The following is a 14,417-nucleotide window of genomic DNA, read 5'->3' as shown; positions in this document are numbered from 1 at the left end:
AGATAGATCCTCAGTCTGTTTCTTTATGCACACGATCCATTTCCACAGTGGATGTTGTGGTTGGCTGCATGAACACTCCGTGACAGTCCACCTCTCACTCAGTTGTAACAGATGACTTTTCTAAACTTTCTCCTCAGATTCCTTTTTTTGAAGATATGTGTAAAGGCATTAAAGCTGGTGACACCTGTGAGAAGCTGGTGGGATATTCTGCCGTGTATAGAGTCTGTTTTGGAATGGCTTGTTTCTTCTTTATCTTCTGTCTACTGACCTTGAAAATCAACAACAGCAAAAGTTGTAGAGCTCATATTCACAATGGGTAAGTATTTTAGTCTTCTTGGGGATTGCTTTCTCCTTTCTTATGTTCAGGACAGTAGTCCAGGATCCCATCTGCCCACCAGACACTGTGACTGCCCTTCTTCTAGTTGAAATTGTTGATTTAGGGGAAGGTGGAATTGATACTTACCCACATGGTTGCCTCAAAGGTAGAATCTTATTTGTAACACCTGGTACCATGATGCGAAATTTACTCAAGACAAAGAGTTTATTTCTTGTTCCAAGACCTTCCCCCAGGTCATTTCCACCCCTGCAATGAAATGGTGTTTTGCACAACTGGAGGCTGCACTGAGTCTGCCTAATTATGGGAAAAAGCATTCTTCAAGTCACCTAGTTACTTCCCCTTGATTAGGAGAGAACATTGGCCAATGGCAGAATCATGGATTGACATGCTGTACCTTCTACGAGGTCCTTTGTCCTTCTTGAATGTCATTTAAATACATTTCCTCTTTTTTTTCCCCCCACTTCTAGCTTTTGGTTCTTTAAACTTCTGCTGTTGGGGGCCATGTGCTCAGGAGCTTTCTTCATTCCAGATCAGGACACCTTTCTGAACGGTACTAATGGGGTATTTTGGGTATCTGTTTATTTTGTTTTTACCCATTTTGTCAAATTGCTCAGAAGCGCAGTCCAAAGTACCTCTGATAGTTAGAATTACTGATTTTCTTTTGGCTTCAAAAGAAATTCCTGACTTACCTGCCCATACTTTTTCCATCATTGCCTATCTACCTCCCCTCTTCTCACCACCGCATCCCACTTCCAGGTAGGGTGTAAGAGGACTCTGATACTCTGCTGGCCTGGGAGACCTTGTTCTTTCCAAGCACTGCACAGAAAACCCAGCAACAGGGAGCGCAGGGCTGTCAGCAGCTAAATGTCTGCTGCAGCGATAGTGGGACAGGAAAAGCATCTTTCAGTCTGTTATTAAACTTACCGTATGTGAAGCTCTGTAGCATTGAATTATATTCTTTATTGTTAGAACCTGCTTTAATTCATTAATATGAAGCCTTTAATCATAGCTGAAACAGGGCGCCCTTTTTCATATGAGCTGAGGGAAAAACCTGAATTTCAGTGGTTCAGAGCATTTTGTTCAACCCAAATGGATTCACTTTCCTAAGTAAGGTATTAAAAACATTTAGGCCAGGCGTGGTAGCTCACACCTGTAATCCTAGCACTTTGGGAGGCTGAGGTGGGTGGATCACTTGAGGCCAGGAGTTCGTCTGAGACCAGCCTGGCCAACATGGCGAAACCTCATCTCTACTAAAAAATATAAAAATTAGCCAGGCATGGTGGTGTGTGCCTGTAATCCCAGCTACTCAGGAGGCTGAGACATGAGAATTGCTTGAACCTGGGAGGCAGAGGTTGCAGTGAGCCGAGATTGCACCACTGTACTCCAGCCTGGGCGACAGAGTGAGACTTTGTCTCAAAAACAAAACTAAACTAAACATTTAGATTGTGTCAGTTTATAAGGAACAGCCATAATCCTTCATATAGTTATGTATCAGGGCCTAGCTAGTTGTTTAAGGTCATACTTGTTTTTCATGTACTCCCTAAGTCTTGCTGTTACCTAAAATACTGTTAAAAGTTTTAAAATTCTCTACAGAGATCCTTTTATGTATTAGAATGTATATTTGGAGGGAGAAGAGACCTAGAAACCCTCTGGTCCAGCTCAGTCTTTTTTTTGTTTTTCGAGACAGAGTCAGAGTCTCGCTCTGTTGCCCAGGTTAGAGTGCAGTGGCACGATCTCGCCTCACTGCAGCCTCTGCCTCACGGGTTCAAGCAATTCTTCTGCCTCAGCCTCCCGAGTAGCTGGGACTATAGGCACGCACCACCACGCCTGGCTAATTTTTGTATTTTTAGTAGAGACGGGGTTTCACCATATTGGCCAGTCTGGTCTCAAACTCCTGACCTTGTGATCCGCCCCCTCTTGGCCTCCCAAAGTGCTGGGATTTACAGGTGTGAGCCACTGCGGCCGGCCAAGCTCAGTCCTTTTTTTTTTTTTTTTTTTTTTGAGACCAAGTCTCGCTCTGTCACCCAGGCTGGAGTGCAGTGGTGCAATCTCAGCTCACTGTGACCTCCACCTCACAGGTTCAAGTGATTCTCCTGCCTCAGCCTCCTGAGTAGATGGGATTACAGGCACCCGCCACTATGCCTGGAGTTTTTTTTTAAGTAGAGTCAGGGTTTCACCATGTAGGCCAGGCTGGTTTCCGACTCCTGACCTCAAGTGATCCCCCTGCCTCAGCCTCCCAAAGTGCTAGGATTGCAGGCATGAGCCACTGTGCCCAGCCCCAGCTCAGTGATTTTTATAGACAAATTGGAACCCATGTGATGTGACTTATTCAAGGTTATAGCGTCTTTGTGGCAGAGCCAGAAGTCGAACCGAGTCCTTGTCCCCTGTCTGAACCTTGTTTCTTTACTGGTCATTGTTGACTTTTTACCCAATAAAATTTGAACCTTTGATTTTCCTGGCAATATGTGTTTGCTTTTAAGTTGTGGGTCATTATGGATTTTATGAATTAGGGCATCTATTAGGGTACCTGGCAGATGTAGTGTGGAGGATAAGCTTGGATATTTCAGGGTCAGACTGCCTGTGTTCAGATCCCAACTATACCATTTATTGACTGAGATGTTGTCAACCTACATAGATTCTCAATTTTTCTCTTCTGTAAAGTGAGTGACATTTATAATAGTAATACATATCTTATATGGTTGTGTGACAAATATGTTAGGTACACTGATCATCTAGTAAAAATTAGCTGTGGTTATTCTCTTTTGAGCAAAATACAACGAAAGGTTGCCTCATTGTGTTCTTCATGGTCTTTTGCAGCCTGGCGCTATGTGGGAGCCGTCGGAGGCTTCCTCTTCATTGGCATCCAGCTCCTCCTGCTCGTGGAGTTTGCACATAAGTGGAACAAGAACTGGTGTGTGCCTTTATGGAAAGCTTCCCATTGACTCACAGAAACTGCCCAGTTTTGACCAAGGCTGTACTCAACTGCATTGCTAGGGATTTGCAGTTTTGTTTCCCTTTATACCTGCTTTTTTGTACCTCTTCATTTACTCCTCTCCTTCATTCACTTCTCACTTTTTGACCCCCTGCCCCTACTCCCTTGCTTGGGCTCTGAGTCAACCAGTGGTGTGAATTAGCCACACTCAATCCCCTGCTCGTACGGGTCTCGATCTCCTGACCTCGTGATCCGCCCACCTCGGCCTCCCAAAGTGCTGGGATTACAGGCTCGAGCCACCGCACCTGGCCTTGCTGTGTTTTTTTAACAGACTCTTGCTTATAAGAATCTAGAAAATGTGCTCATTGCTCTTAATAGAACAACTAAAGTACCTTTTCTTCCCTTTTTCATTTATCTCTTTGTAAATATCTTGAGAAGGAGATGATCCTAAAAACAGTAGGATAGAAAGGTCATGGGCCTGGCAACCAGGAGATGCAGATTTCAGTACCCTTTTGTTTTCTTTTTCTTTTATTATTATTATTATTATTATTATTATTATTATTTTTGAGATGGGATCCCACTTTGTCATTCAGGCCGGAGTGCAGTTGTGTGATCATGGCTCACTGCAGCTTCGATTTCCCAGGCTTCAGTGATTCTCCCACCTCAGCCCCCTGAGAAGCTGGGACTACAGGCATGTGGCACCACACTTGGCTAATTTCTTTTTTTGTTTGCTTGGTAGAGATGGGATTTCGCCACGTCGCCCAGGCTGATCTTGAATTCCTGGGTTAAAGAGATCCTTCTGCCTTGGCCTCCCAAAGTACTGGGATGACATTGTGTTCGGCTTCAGTGCCCCTTTTAATGCTTGTTCTCACTGTAGAGCTCATCAGTCGGCCCCTCTGACCTCCATTTTCACACTTAAATAATGTGTTTGGACTAACTGGTGTGTTCTTTTTTTTTCCTTTCTAGCTCAAATTTTGTGGTTTACAGTGTCAATTCTCTATTAGAATTGAAACAAAGGGCTTTAGGTGTCGAGTGTAAAGACTTTTTTTGGATTTTTAGTGGGATGGGAGAGCACCAGAGGGCCTTAAAAAGGGAGGAATATAATCTGTTTTAAGTGCAGAAAGGTGAAAAGGTGTCAGGGGTGCAAGTAAGGAGGTCAGGGGGAGTCAATCCAGGTGAGGGAGGAGTAGTCTGGAACTAAGTGGTAGCAAGGAGCTGGATCCTCCTATGTTCCAAAGCCAGCTCTGGGTGGAGGTGGGTGGGGGAGGGGAGAGCAGCAAGAAGCTTCCAGAGTGACCACAGTTCTTTTGTTCTTTTCTTTTCTTTTCTTTTCTTTTGAGACAGAGTCTCGTTCTGTCGCCCAGGCTGGAGTGCAGTGGCACAATCTCGGCTCACTGCAAGCTCCGCCTCCCGGGTTCGTGCCATTTTCCTGCCTCAGCCTCTCAAGTAGCTGGGACTACAGTCGCCTGCCACCATGCCCGGCTAATTTTTTGTATTTTTTAGTAGAGACGGGGTTTCACCGTGTTAGCCAGGATGGTCTCGATCTCCTGACCTGGTGATCCGCCCACCTCGGCCTCCCAAAGTGCTGGGATTACAGGCGTGAGCCACTGCACCCGGCTTCTTTTCTTTTCATTTCATTTCATTTCATTTTCTTCCTTCCTTCCTTCCTTCCTTCCTTCCTTCCTTCCTTCCTTCCTTCCTTCCTTCTTTCCTTCCTGCCTTTCCTCTTCCTTTCCTTTTCCTTTTCCTTTCCTCTTTCTTTGCTTTCCTTTCTTTCCTTTCCTCTTTCTTTCTTTCCCTCTTCCCCTAACAATGGGAAGTTGGAGTTGCTGTTTTCTGAGGTTGGGATAATTGCACAATAGCAGGTTTGGGGGATGGAGGAATGGGGGTGTCAATATCAGGAAGTTAGCCTTAGCCTGGATGTGCCAAGTTTGAGATACCAGTTAGACCTTCAAGTGGGTCTCCAATTGTTAAATGAACAAGGGGATAATATAAGTGACATTCAGGGGAAAGGTTAGGGTTGAAGATTTAACTTTGGGATGGACTGTAAACATAAATTAACTGAAAGAAAGTCCTTCATATTCTAATAACATAACCAAAAAGACTAGTGAATAGAAGCGTTGGTCGTCTCCCACGCACAAACCAGTCAGCAGTGTTTACCTTTTTCTGTATAATTCATGCTGTCTCCCCATCATCCATTATTATTTGCTCTTAGATATTTTTTTCCTTCTTAAAATCCCATTTTTCTCTCATTTCCTTTGTATGCCTTTTATGTTAGAATAATTCCAAGGTCATTGGAGTGTCTGGCACAGTTTCAGGAATATGACGGTCATTATCATTTTGGCCTTTCCTCCCTATTTTCTTTGTTTCTGGTTGCAGGAACTTTTTCATCATTAAAACATTTTAGCTGGGTTGCTTGAACACTTTCCAGTTTTGTGAGGGCATAAAGCAAGTTGCTTTTTCTGTGAGGTTTGGGAGAATGTGGTTACAAAGAGCAATTTAATCATAAGGCAGATGACAATGATTCATTCAATTCATTCTCCCTGTTCTGTCCTCTTCATTTAGCATTTATAGATACTTTTTTTTGTTCTGAACAATTTCCCTTTTTGTGTGAGACAGGGTCTTGCTCTGTTGCCCAGGCTAGAGTGCAGTGGCATGATCTGGGCTCACCGCAGCCTCTGCCTCTGGTGTCCAAGCGATTCAGCCACTCAAGTAGCTGGGATTACAGGCATGCACCACCACGCCCGGATAATTTTTGTATTTTTGGTAGAGATGGGGTTTCGCCATGTTGGTCAGGCTGGTCTCGAATTCCTGACCTCGTGATCTGTCCGCCTTGGCCTCCCAAAGTGCTGGGATTACAGGCATGAGCCACCATGCCCTAATTTATTTTTTAATTGACATATTGTAATTGTACATATTTATCGGGTTCATTTTGACGTTTTGATACATATATGTTATATAGTAATCAAATCAAGGTAGTTGGCTATTCATTACCTCATGGATTTATCATCTTTTTCTTTCTTTCCTTTCTTTTTTTGTCTTTTTTTTTAAAGAGACAGGGTCTCACTCTGTCACCCAGGCTGGAGTGCCGTGGCGCAGTCATAGCTCACTGCAGCCTTGAACTCCTAGGCTCAAGAAATCCTCCTGCCTCTGCCTCCCAAGAAGCTGGCTAATTAGCATGTCCAGCTAATTTTTTTGTTTGTTTTTTGTTTTGGTTTGGTTTTTGGTTTTTGTAGATGGGGTCTTGCTCTGTTGGCCAGGCTGTATCATTTCTTTGTGTTGAGAATCTTCAAAAGCCTCTCCTCTAGCTGTTTTGTAATATACAATACCTTACTGCTAGCCATCATCACCCTACCATACAGTTGATCACCAGAATTTATTCCTATCTATTTAACTTTTTTTAATGTCAAATTTTCCTTTACTATTCCCTGATACTATTTTAGATAAAGAAGCAGCACAGTTACAGGTCCTTCTCTTCAGTACAGGGAATAAAGAGCTAAGGTCAGCCAGTATGGCTCTTAGTAAAGGTAATTCTCTTTCCTCCCTAAGAAGATGGCATCAGAGCTGCTGGCAACACTTTGTTTCTGTTTTTAAAAGTTTATTTATTATTATTATCAAACATTTAGGGCCAGGCACAGTGGCTCATGCCTGTAATCCTAGCACTTTGGGAGGCAGAGGTGGGTGGATCACGAGGTCAGGAGTTCAAGACCAGCCTGGCCAAGATGGTGAAACCCCGTCTTTACTAAAAATACAAAATTAGCCCGGCATGGTGGTGGATACCTGTAATCCCAGCTACTAAGGAGGCTGAGGCAGAGAATTACTTGAACCTGGGAGGCGGGGGTTGCAATGAGCCAAGATCACACCACAGCACTCCAGCCTGGGCGACAGAGCAAGACTCTGTCTCAAAAAAAAATAAAATAAAAAATTTAGACAGGGTCTTACTCTTGCCCAAACTGGAGTGCAGTAGTACAGTCATGGCTCATAGCAGCCTTCATCCACCCGAGCTCAGGTGATCCTCCTACCTCAGTCTCCCAAGCAGCTGGGACTACAAGTTTGCACCACAACATGCTGCTAATTTTTGTAGAGACAAGGTTTTGCCTTGTTGCCCAGGCTGGTCTTGAGCTCCTAGCTTCAAGTGATTCACCTGCCTCGGCCTCTCAAAGTGCTGGGATTACAGGTGTGAGCCACCTCTCCTGGCAGCACTTTGGAGTAGAGACTATGGCGCTTCGGGGCTCTGTGTTTATGGAGAAAACTTGGGGAAGCCCAGTGAAGAGCCACTTTTTTCATCCTGCCAAAAACTGACCCACGGTGGTTCATAGTCAGAATGGAGAAGCTAGAATAAAGTCTGTAGGTAGCTAAAGGAAATAAAGAGTCTCAGGACTGCTCAAACTCATTACACCAAATGGAGAGTTAAGCCTGGAGACACAGTCATGTGACACTGCTGTCTCCCCCCACCTGCCCATAGATAGCTGTGACTTCCCAACCTTGTGTCAAAGGACTACACATTAGCTAGATCTCTACAGAAGGCAAAAGGCCCCATGCAACCCGGATGGCTGCCCTCAAATTGCTCATAAGTAAATTCTCTGCTTGTCCCTAAACCTTTCAAGATGTGTATCTTCCCATAAAAAAGGACATGTCAGCTGTAACTTTAGGTCTGCGACCTAAGTCTAGCTCCCTGTCCATGGAATTGCAGTCTGTTACATTTCACACTGACAATGTCCATTACAAGCTTATCTTCCCAGGTGCAGAACAAAGACAGGACAGCAGTCATTTCTCTGCTTACCCTGAGACTACATAATTAACTCTTCCTTTACTCCCTTTTTGAATGTTGATCATATCTCTTGTATAGCAGGGTTTACTGGGCACTAGTTAAAATCTCAGGGGAATGTCACGTTTGCCTCACCACCTGCCCCCTTTTCCTGCGTGCCTTCTCCCCTTTAAAGAAATGGGTAAATACTGAGCCTTCTGCAACCTCTTTGGGAGCACCAGCCACAGAAGATTCTGTGACTTGTGTGCTTTTAGGTGCACCCTCAGACCTCTGGCTCAGTACACCTCGGCTGATTGAGACTGTTGCCTCAGTCTCTCATTTGGGTTGACATTATTCATTTTAATGAATGAATACATTTGTCGCAGAAAGTGGAATTCTCTCATTGTTGAGAGAAAATTCTCAGCTTGAGTCAAGAAGTTTCCATATTTACCAGAACCTTCTAGCTTTGATGAGCATAATCACTGCTAAAATAATGTGTCTTCTGAGCAGCTGGGTACCAGTGCCTGTGGCCTGTAGCATTAGTTACTGCCTGAGGGATGGTGACTGTTACCGCAGAATGGTGGGCTTCGTTGACTTGTCTTCTCTCCTCTCCCTCTTACCCACTTCCCGGAGAAACAGGACAGCAGGCACAGCCAGTAACAAGCTGTGGTACGCCTCCCTGGCCCTGGTGACGCTCATCATGTATTCCATTGCCACTGGAGGCTTGGTTTTGATGGCAGTGTTTTATACACAGAAAGACAGCTGCATGGAAAACAAAATTCTGCTGGGAGTAAATGGAGGCCTGTGCCTGCTTATATCATTGGTAGCCATCTCACCCTGGGTCCAAAATCGTAAGCATGTTTTTTTCCATTCTTCGTTACTTATATTTTCCTAAGTGTCTTTGAGCAAACCCAATGGCTTTTTTTGTTTTGTTTTGTTTGTTTGGAACTAGTGTATTCCTTAACTTACTGTGGATGTGTCAGCAGTAGGCAAGGTGGGGCTCCAGTCTCTTCATATCTCATGCTCGAGCTGTGATAGCCAAGCATTTCTCATGTCGAGAAAGACCTGAACGTAACGAAGTCAATGAATAGGAAGATACTGCCTTTGCTAAATAATGTACCACAAAGAGCCTTTAAATGGGAAATGCCTTCCGTGTATATCAAGATCAGGTGTTTATGAGCTTGCCTACAATCTCTGTGTAAAAGTTGAATGAAAGGGCCGCAGAAGGGGTTGGTTCTGGGGTCATCTTTCACTCAAGGCTGTGGACAGTGTGGTCTGGGAGTCAGGAAGCAGGACATCCCATCCCAGCTCAGCCAGCAGCTGGCCCATGTGCTAACCTTCCTTAGACCCAGGTTCTTCCTCAGTAAACTCAGTGGAAACATGTGAGCCTGACCTTGCTCATTGTTGTTTCAAAGCCGGAAGGAAGAGACAGTGGGATCTGAAAGTGCTTTAGGAAGTATAAATGTGAATTGCCATTTATAAACTACTCTTGGTTTCTTAAGCCAGGGTATAGTGTCTTTGGGCTTACAGTGAGATGTCCCTGGTCTGATTTTTTTTGTGGGTGTCGGACCCTATAGGTGATGAAAATGCACATGACATTCAGGTTCTAGGTAGGAAAATACAGGCAATAAATGTACAGCCCCCTTGAATCATTTCTAAAATAGTGGTTTAAAAAGGCAACTAGTGGTCGGGCGCAGTTGTTCATGCCTGTAATCCCAGCACTTTGGGAGGCTGAGGCAGGCAGATCGTCTGAGGTCAGGAGTTCAAGACTAGCCTGGCCAACTTCGGGAAACCCCGTCTCTACAAAAAAATACCCAGAAAATTAGCCAGCCATGGTGGGACACGCCTGTATTCCCAGCTACCCGGGAGGCTGAGAGGCAGGAGAATTGCTTGAACCCGGGAGGCGGGGCTTGCAGTGAGCCAAGATCCCACCACTGCACTCCAGCCTGGGTGACAGTGAGACTCTGTGTCGAAAAAAAAAAAGGCAACTAGTCACAAATAATTTGTTTTCTTCTATTAAAAATTTTAAGACCATTATTGAAATTGAGAGTATTATTCTCCTAATCCCTTTAATTGATCAGTTAAGAGTTCCTAGAACAACTTGATATTCCGATTAAAATCTTTGGGTTAAGTCCTACCTTTTGAAATAGGGATAATGTTTTGAAATACTTGGTTTAATACCATTAGGTGCTAAGGAAAATCTTATTCCCTTGCCAAAGAGCAACATTATAACAGGGTCTATTTTATGTCTTTATTGGTAATTACAATTTAATAATGATAATTTTGGAAACAAATTTGACCAAAGGGAAGACTGAGTAAAAACTGCATCCTTTTATGTCGGCAAGTGGTCGAAAATTTCGCAGGAAAGAAAGAGAGATCCCTTATCACATCCTGGTTACTCTGAAGGATCTGAACCCTTAGTTTCCTTGAAATATTATAACTTTCAAAAAATAACAGATGGCTTGTGAAGTTTCAGAGAAAAATGAACACTTATACACTGTTGGTGGGAATGTAAATTAGTTCAACCATAGTGGAAAGCAGGGTGGCAATTCCTCAAAGACCTAAAAACAAAACTATCATTAGGTCCAGCAATCTCATTACTGGGTATATACCCAAAAGAATATAAATGGTTCTCACATAAAGACACAGGCATTCACAATAGCAAAGATATGGAATCACCGACATGCCCGTCAATGGTAGATTGAATAAAGAAAATGTGGTACATATACACTATGGAATCTATGGAATACGGTGTAGCCATAAAAAGGAAAGAGATCATGTCCTTTGCAGGAACGTGGATGGGGCTGGAGGACATTATCCTTAGCAAACTAACACAGGAACAGAAAACCAAATACCACATGTTCTTGCTTAAAAGTGGGAGCTAAATGATGAGAACATGTGGACACATAGAGGGGAACAACACACACTGGGGCCTATCAGAGGGTGGAGGTGGGAGGAAGGAGAGGATCAGGAAAGATAACTAATGGGTACTAGGCTTAATACCTGGGTGACGAAATAATCTATATGACAAACCCCTGTGGCAATTTTCCCCTTACAACAAACCTGCACATACACCCCTAAACCTAAAATAAAAGTTAAAAATAAATGAATAAATAAATAAATAACCTTAAAGCCATTCTCCCAGTGAATGCTGAGCCCCATAGCCTTCCTCTTTAGCCAAGAGCAGTTCTTGTATTCTGTCCCCAAAAGCTTTTTGATCATTGGCAGGTAAGAGCTTTTTGCCCTGTCATAGACTGTAGTATGTGATGACCTTGTAGAATCCAGAATACATCCCCTATGAAATCTGGTTTACCACTTACTCCCCTCCCCAATTAAGCTATGTGGTTTTATCAACAACTATGGTAATTTTTTTTCTGATCTTGTGATTTAAGAACTAATGTTACAAACCTCAGGGAGACTAGTTAGTGTGTTTTAAGTGTAGCCATAGGCTTGATAAAGTATTGGTAGATAACTTGGCAGAACCTGATGTCTTTGAAGTAGCAATGTTCAGTTCAGCGTGTAACTCTCTCCCCCTTAATATCTTTTTAGTTTTATCTGAGAAACATACTACATTTTTTTCTCTTTTCTTTCCTTTAAAGGTGGATGCTCAAGTTTGAGGACTGTCATGGGGACTATCAGGTTTTTTAGGCATGTGCTTTCTTTTTCTTCAAATTAAAACCTGTTGTCTGTCTCTTGTCACTTTTCAGGACAGCCACACTCGGGGCTCTTACAATCAGGGGTCATAAGCTGCTATGTCACCTACCTCACCTTCTCAGCTCTGTCCAGCAAACCTGCAGAAGTAGGTAAGCCAGCCTGTTAGTGGGCTTGTGTTTGCGGTGTGAATATTTTCATTCATGGAGGAATGAGCTATTGTTTAAATATTGGAGAGGCCTTGGAGATAGAGAGCAGAAAGATGGTTACCAGAGGCTGGGAAGGGTTTGGGAGGAGGTTAGGATGATTAATGGGTACAAAATAAATAGGAAGAATGAATAAGACCTAGTATTTGATAGCACAACAGGGTGACTATAGTCAAATTTAATTGTACATTTAAAAATAACTAAAAGAGTATAATTGGATTGCTTGTATAACACAAAAGATCAGTGCATGAGGGGATGGGTACCCCATTTTAGATGACGTGATTGTTACATGTTTCACACCTGTATTAAAACATCTCATGTACCACAGAAATATGTACGCCTACTATGTATCCACAAAAATTAAGTTAAAAAATAAAAATAAACGTTAGAAATGTACCAAATCACAGTAGAGAGATGATCTAGACTTTTTCATGAAAAAGTCTTTAACTTGAGCTATGTAAAGGAAAATTCCCTTTTTCGATTCTTCCTGGTGTGTAGGACAGACAGGAGGAAAGGTTTGGCTGTGGAGTTTGCTTTTAGGCCTAAATAACCTCTTTAGTTGTATTTCTTTTCTTTTCTGACTATAGCAGTGGAATAAAGAGTGGAAAGAATGTGGGGGAGTGGGGAGCAGGGAGCAGGATCTGAGCACAGATCCATGATTTACTGGCTATGTGACCTCAAACCACTCGTCTTAAATGACATTTATTTACAGAGACAACAGAACATAGTGATTAGAGCATGAGCTTTGAAGTCGGACTGCCTGGTTTATAGACTGATCCTGCTACTTAAGTAACTTGCAGAAACTTACTTATCCTCTCTATTACTTATGTGATGTATAAATGTAAATATACACAGACATACATACATATATACATACATACACATAAGCATATATAAATGTATGTTTGAGTATATTTGAGCTTATATAAGTCAAATAAATGTAGTGTCTAAGAGAATTGAAGTTGTTTCCTCTTTTAAATTTGGAAAGCTGGTGCAGTGATAATTTTGAAAGTTTTAGCATATACACATAGTATTTATGGGTTTGTCCTTGTTGCTGTTTATAGTGGAAAGTAATGTAAGTGGAGGTCTTAAGTAACTATTGCCTAACCTGGATTTAAGTTTTTTTTTTAAATACTCTATCTTGACTCTGTAAGTTTACATAAATTTAGTCTCTTTAAGACTTTCTTTTATGACTGTTTATGTATTAATTTCTGGCTTTAACTTACTGGGATTTTTATTTACAATATTTTTTAAATGGCAGGTATCCCTTTAAAACAGAAAAAAAAGGCTGAGCGTGGTGGCACATGCCTGTAATCTAAGCACCTTGGGAGGCTGAGGCAGGAAGATTGCTTGCAGCCAGGAGCTGAGACCAGCCTTGGCAACATAGCATCTCTACAAAAAAAAAAAAAAAAAAAAAACAGAAAAAAAGTTATTTTAAATTTCAAGTGCTCTACATTTTTTTAATTAGCCTAAGAATAAAGATTCTTGAAACCACAGCATACACAGGGAAGTTTATAGCATTAAATGCCTATATGAAAAAAGCAGAAAGATTACAAATTAACAACCTAACATTGCACCTGGAACTAGAAAATCAAGAAGAAATCAAACCCAAAGTTAGCAGAACAAAAGAAATAACAAAGATCAGGGCTGTGTGAGTTGGCTCATGCTTGTAATCCTAGCACTTTGGGAGGTTGAGGCAGGCAGATTGCAGGAGCCCAGGAGTTTGAGACCAGCCTGGGCAACATGGTGAAACCCTGTCCCTACAAAAAAATACAAAAAATTAGCCAGGCATGGTGGCACATGTCTGTAGTCCCAGCTACTCTGGAGGCTGAGGTGGGAGGATCACTGGAGCCCCAGAGGTTGAGGCTGCAGTGAGCTGTGAGCTCTTATTGCACCACTGCACTCTACCCAGGGCAATAGACAGGGACTTTGTCTCAAAAAAATAAAATAAAATAAGGAACTAAATAAAATAAAGACCCCCCTCCCCCCCAAAAAAACCCATGAGAACAATACAGAGGATCAACAAAACAAAAAAAAGGTGGTTTGTTGAAAAGATAAACAAAATTGATAAGCCCCTGGACTAACCAAGAAGAGAGAAGACCAAATCAACAAAATTAGAAATGAAAAAGGAAAAATCACAATAATAACCACAAAAGTACAAAAGATCATTACAGACTATTATGAACTTCCATATACTTACAAACTAGAAAAGCTAGAGGAAATGGATACATTTCTGGAAAGCAAGAAGGAATAGAAATCCTAAACAGGCCAATAATGAGTAGTGATATTGAATCAGTGATTTAAAAAATCTTCCAATAAGAAAAAGCCAGGACCGAATGGAGTCATAGCCAAATCCTACCAAACATATAAGGGAGAACTAATACCAATCCTCCTGAAATTGTGCCAAAAAATGGAGGAGGAGAGAACTCTCCCTGACTCATTATACAAGGCCAGATATATCACCCTGAAAACCAAAACCAGACAAGGACACAACAAAAAAAAATTACAGACCAATACCCCTGATGAACATAGATGGAAAAATCT

General features: G+C 42.2%; 1 protein-coding gene across 8 annotated transcripts in view; it reads left to right on the top strand.

Annotated features, from left to right (window-relative positions):
* Nucleotides 1-14,417, top strand: part of SERINC5 (serine incorporator 5) — a 144,824-nt gene that overhangs the window by 77,847 nt on the left and 52,560 nt on the right. For all 8 annotated transcript variants that reach the window (NR_126060.2, NR_126061.2, NM_001174071.3 and 5 more), the window contains 5 exons: nt 138-316; nt 805-887; nt 3,155-3,248; nt 8,656-8,867; nt 11,724-11,819. Coding sequence is in view for 6 of the 8 variants with exons in the window: in NM_001174071.3 (NP_001167542.1) it covers nt 138-316; nt 805-887; nt 3,155-3,248; nt 8,656-8,867; nt 11,724-11,819 (664 nt within the window). In the remaining 2 variants the exon portion in view is untranslated. The remainder of the gene's footprint in view (nt 1-137; nt 317-804; nt 888-3,154; nt 3,249-8,655; nt 8,868-11,723; nt 11,820-14,417) is intronic.

The sequence above is a fragment of the Homo sapiens genome, chromosome 5 (assembly GCF_000001405.40).
Source record: "Homo sapiens chromosome 5, GRCh38.p14 Primary Assembly".
Classification (NCBI taxonomy): domain Eukaryota; kingdom Metazoa; phylum Chordata; class Mammalia; order Primates; family Hominidae; genus Homo; species Homo sapiens.
Note: the sequence above shows the minus strand (reverse complement) of the source record. Positions and strands in the feature narration are given on the sequence as shown.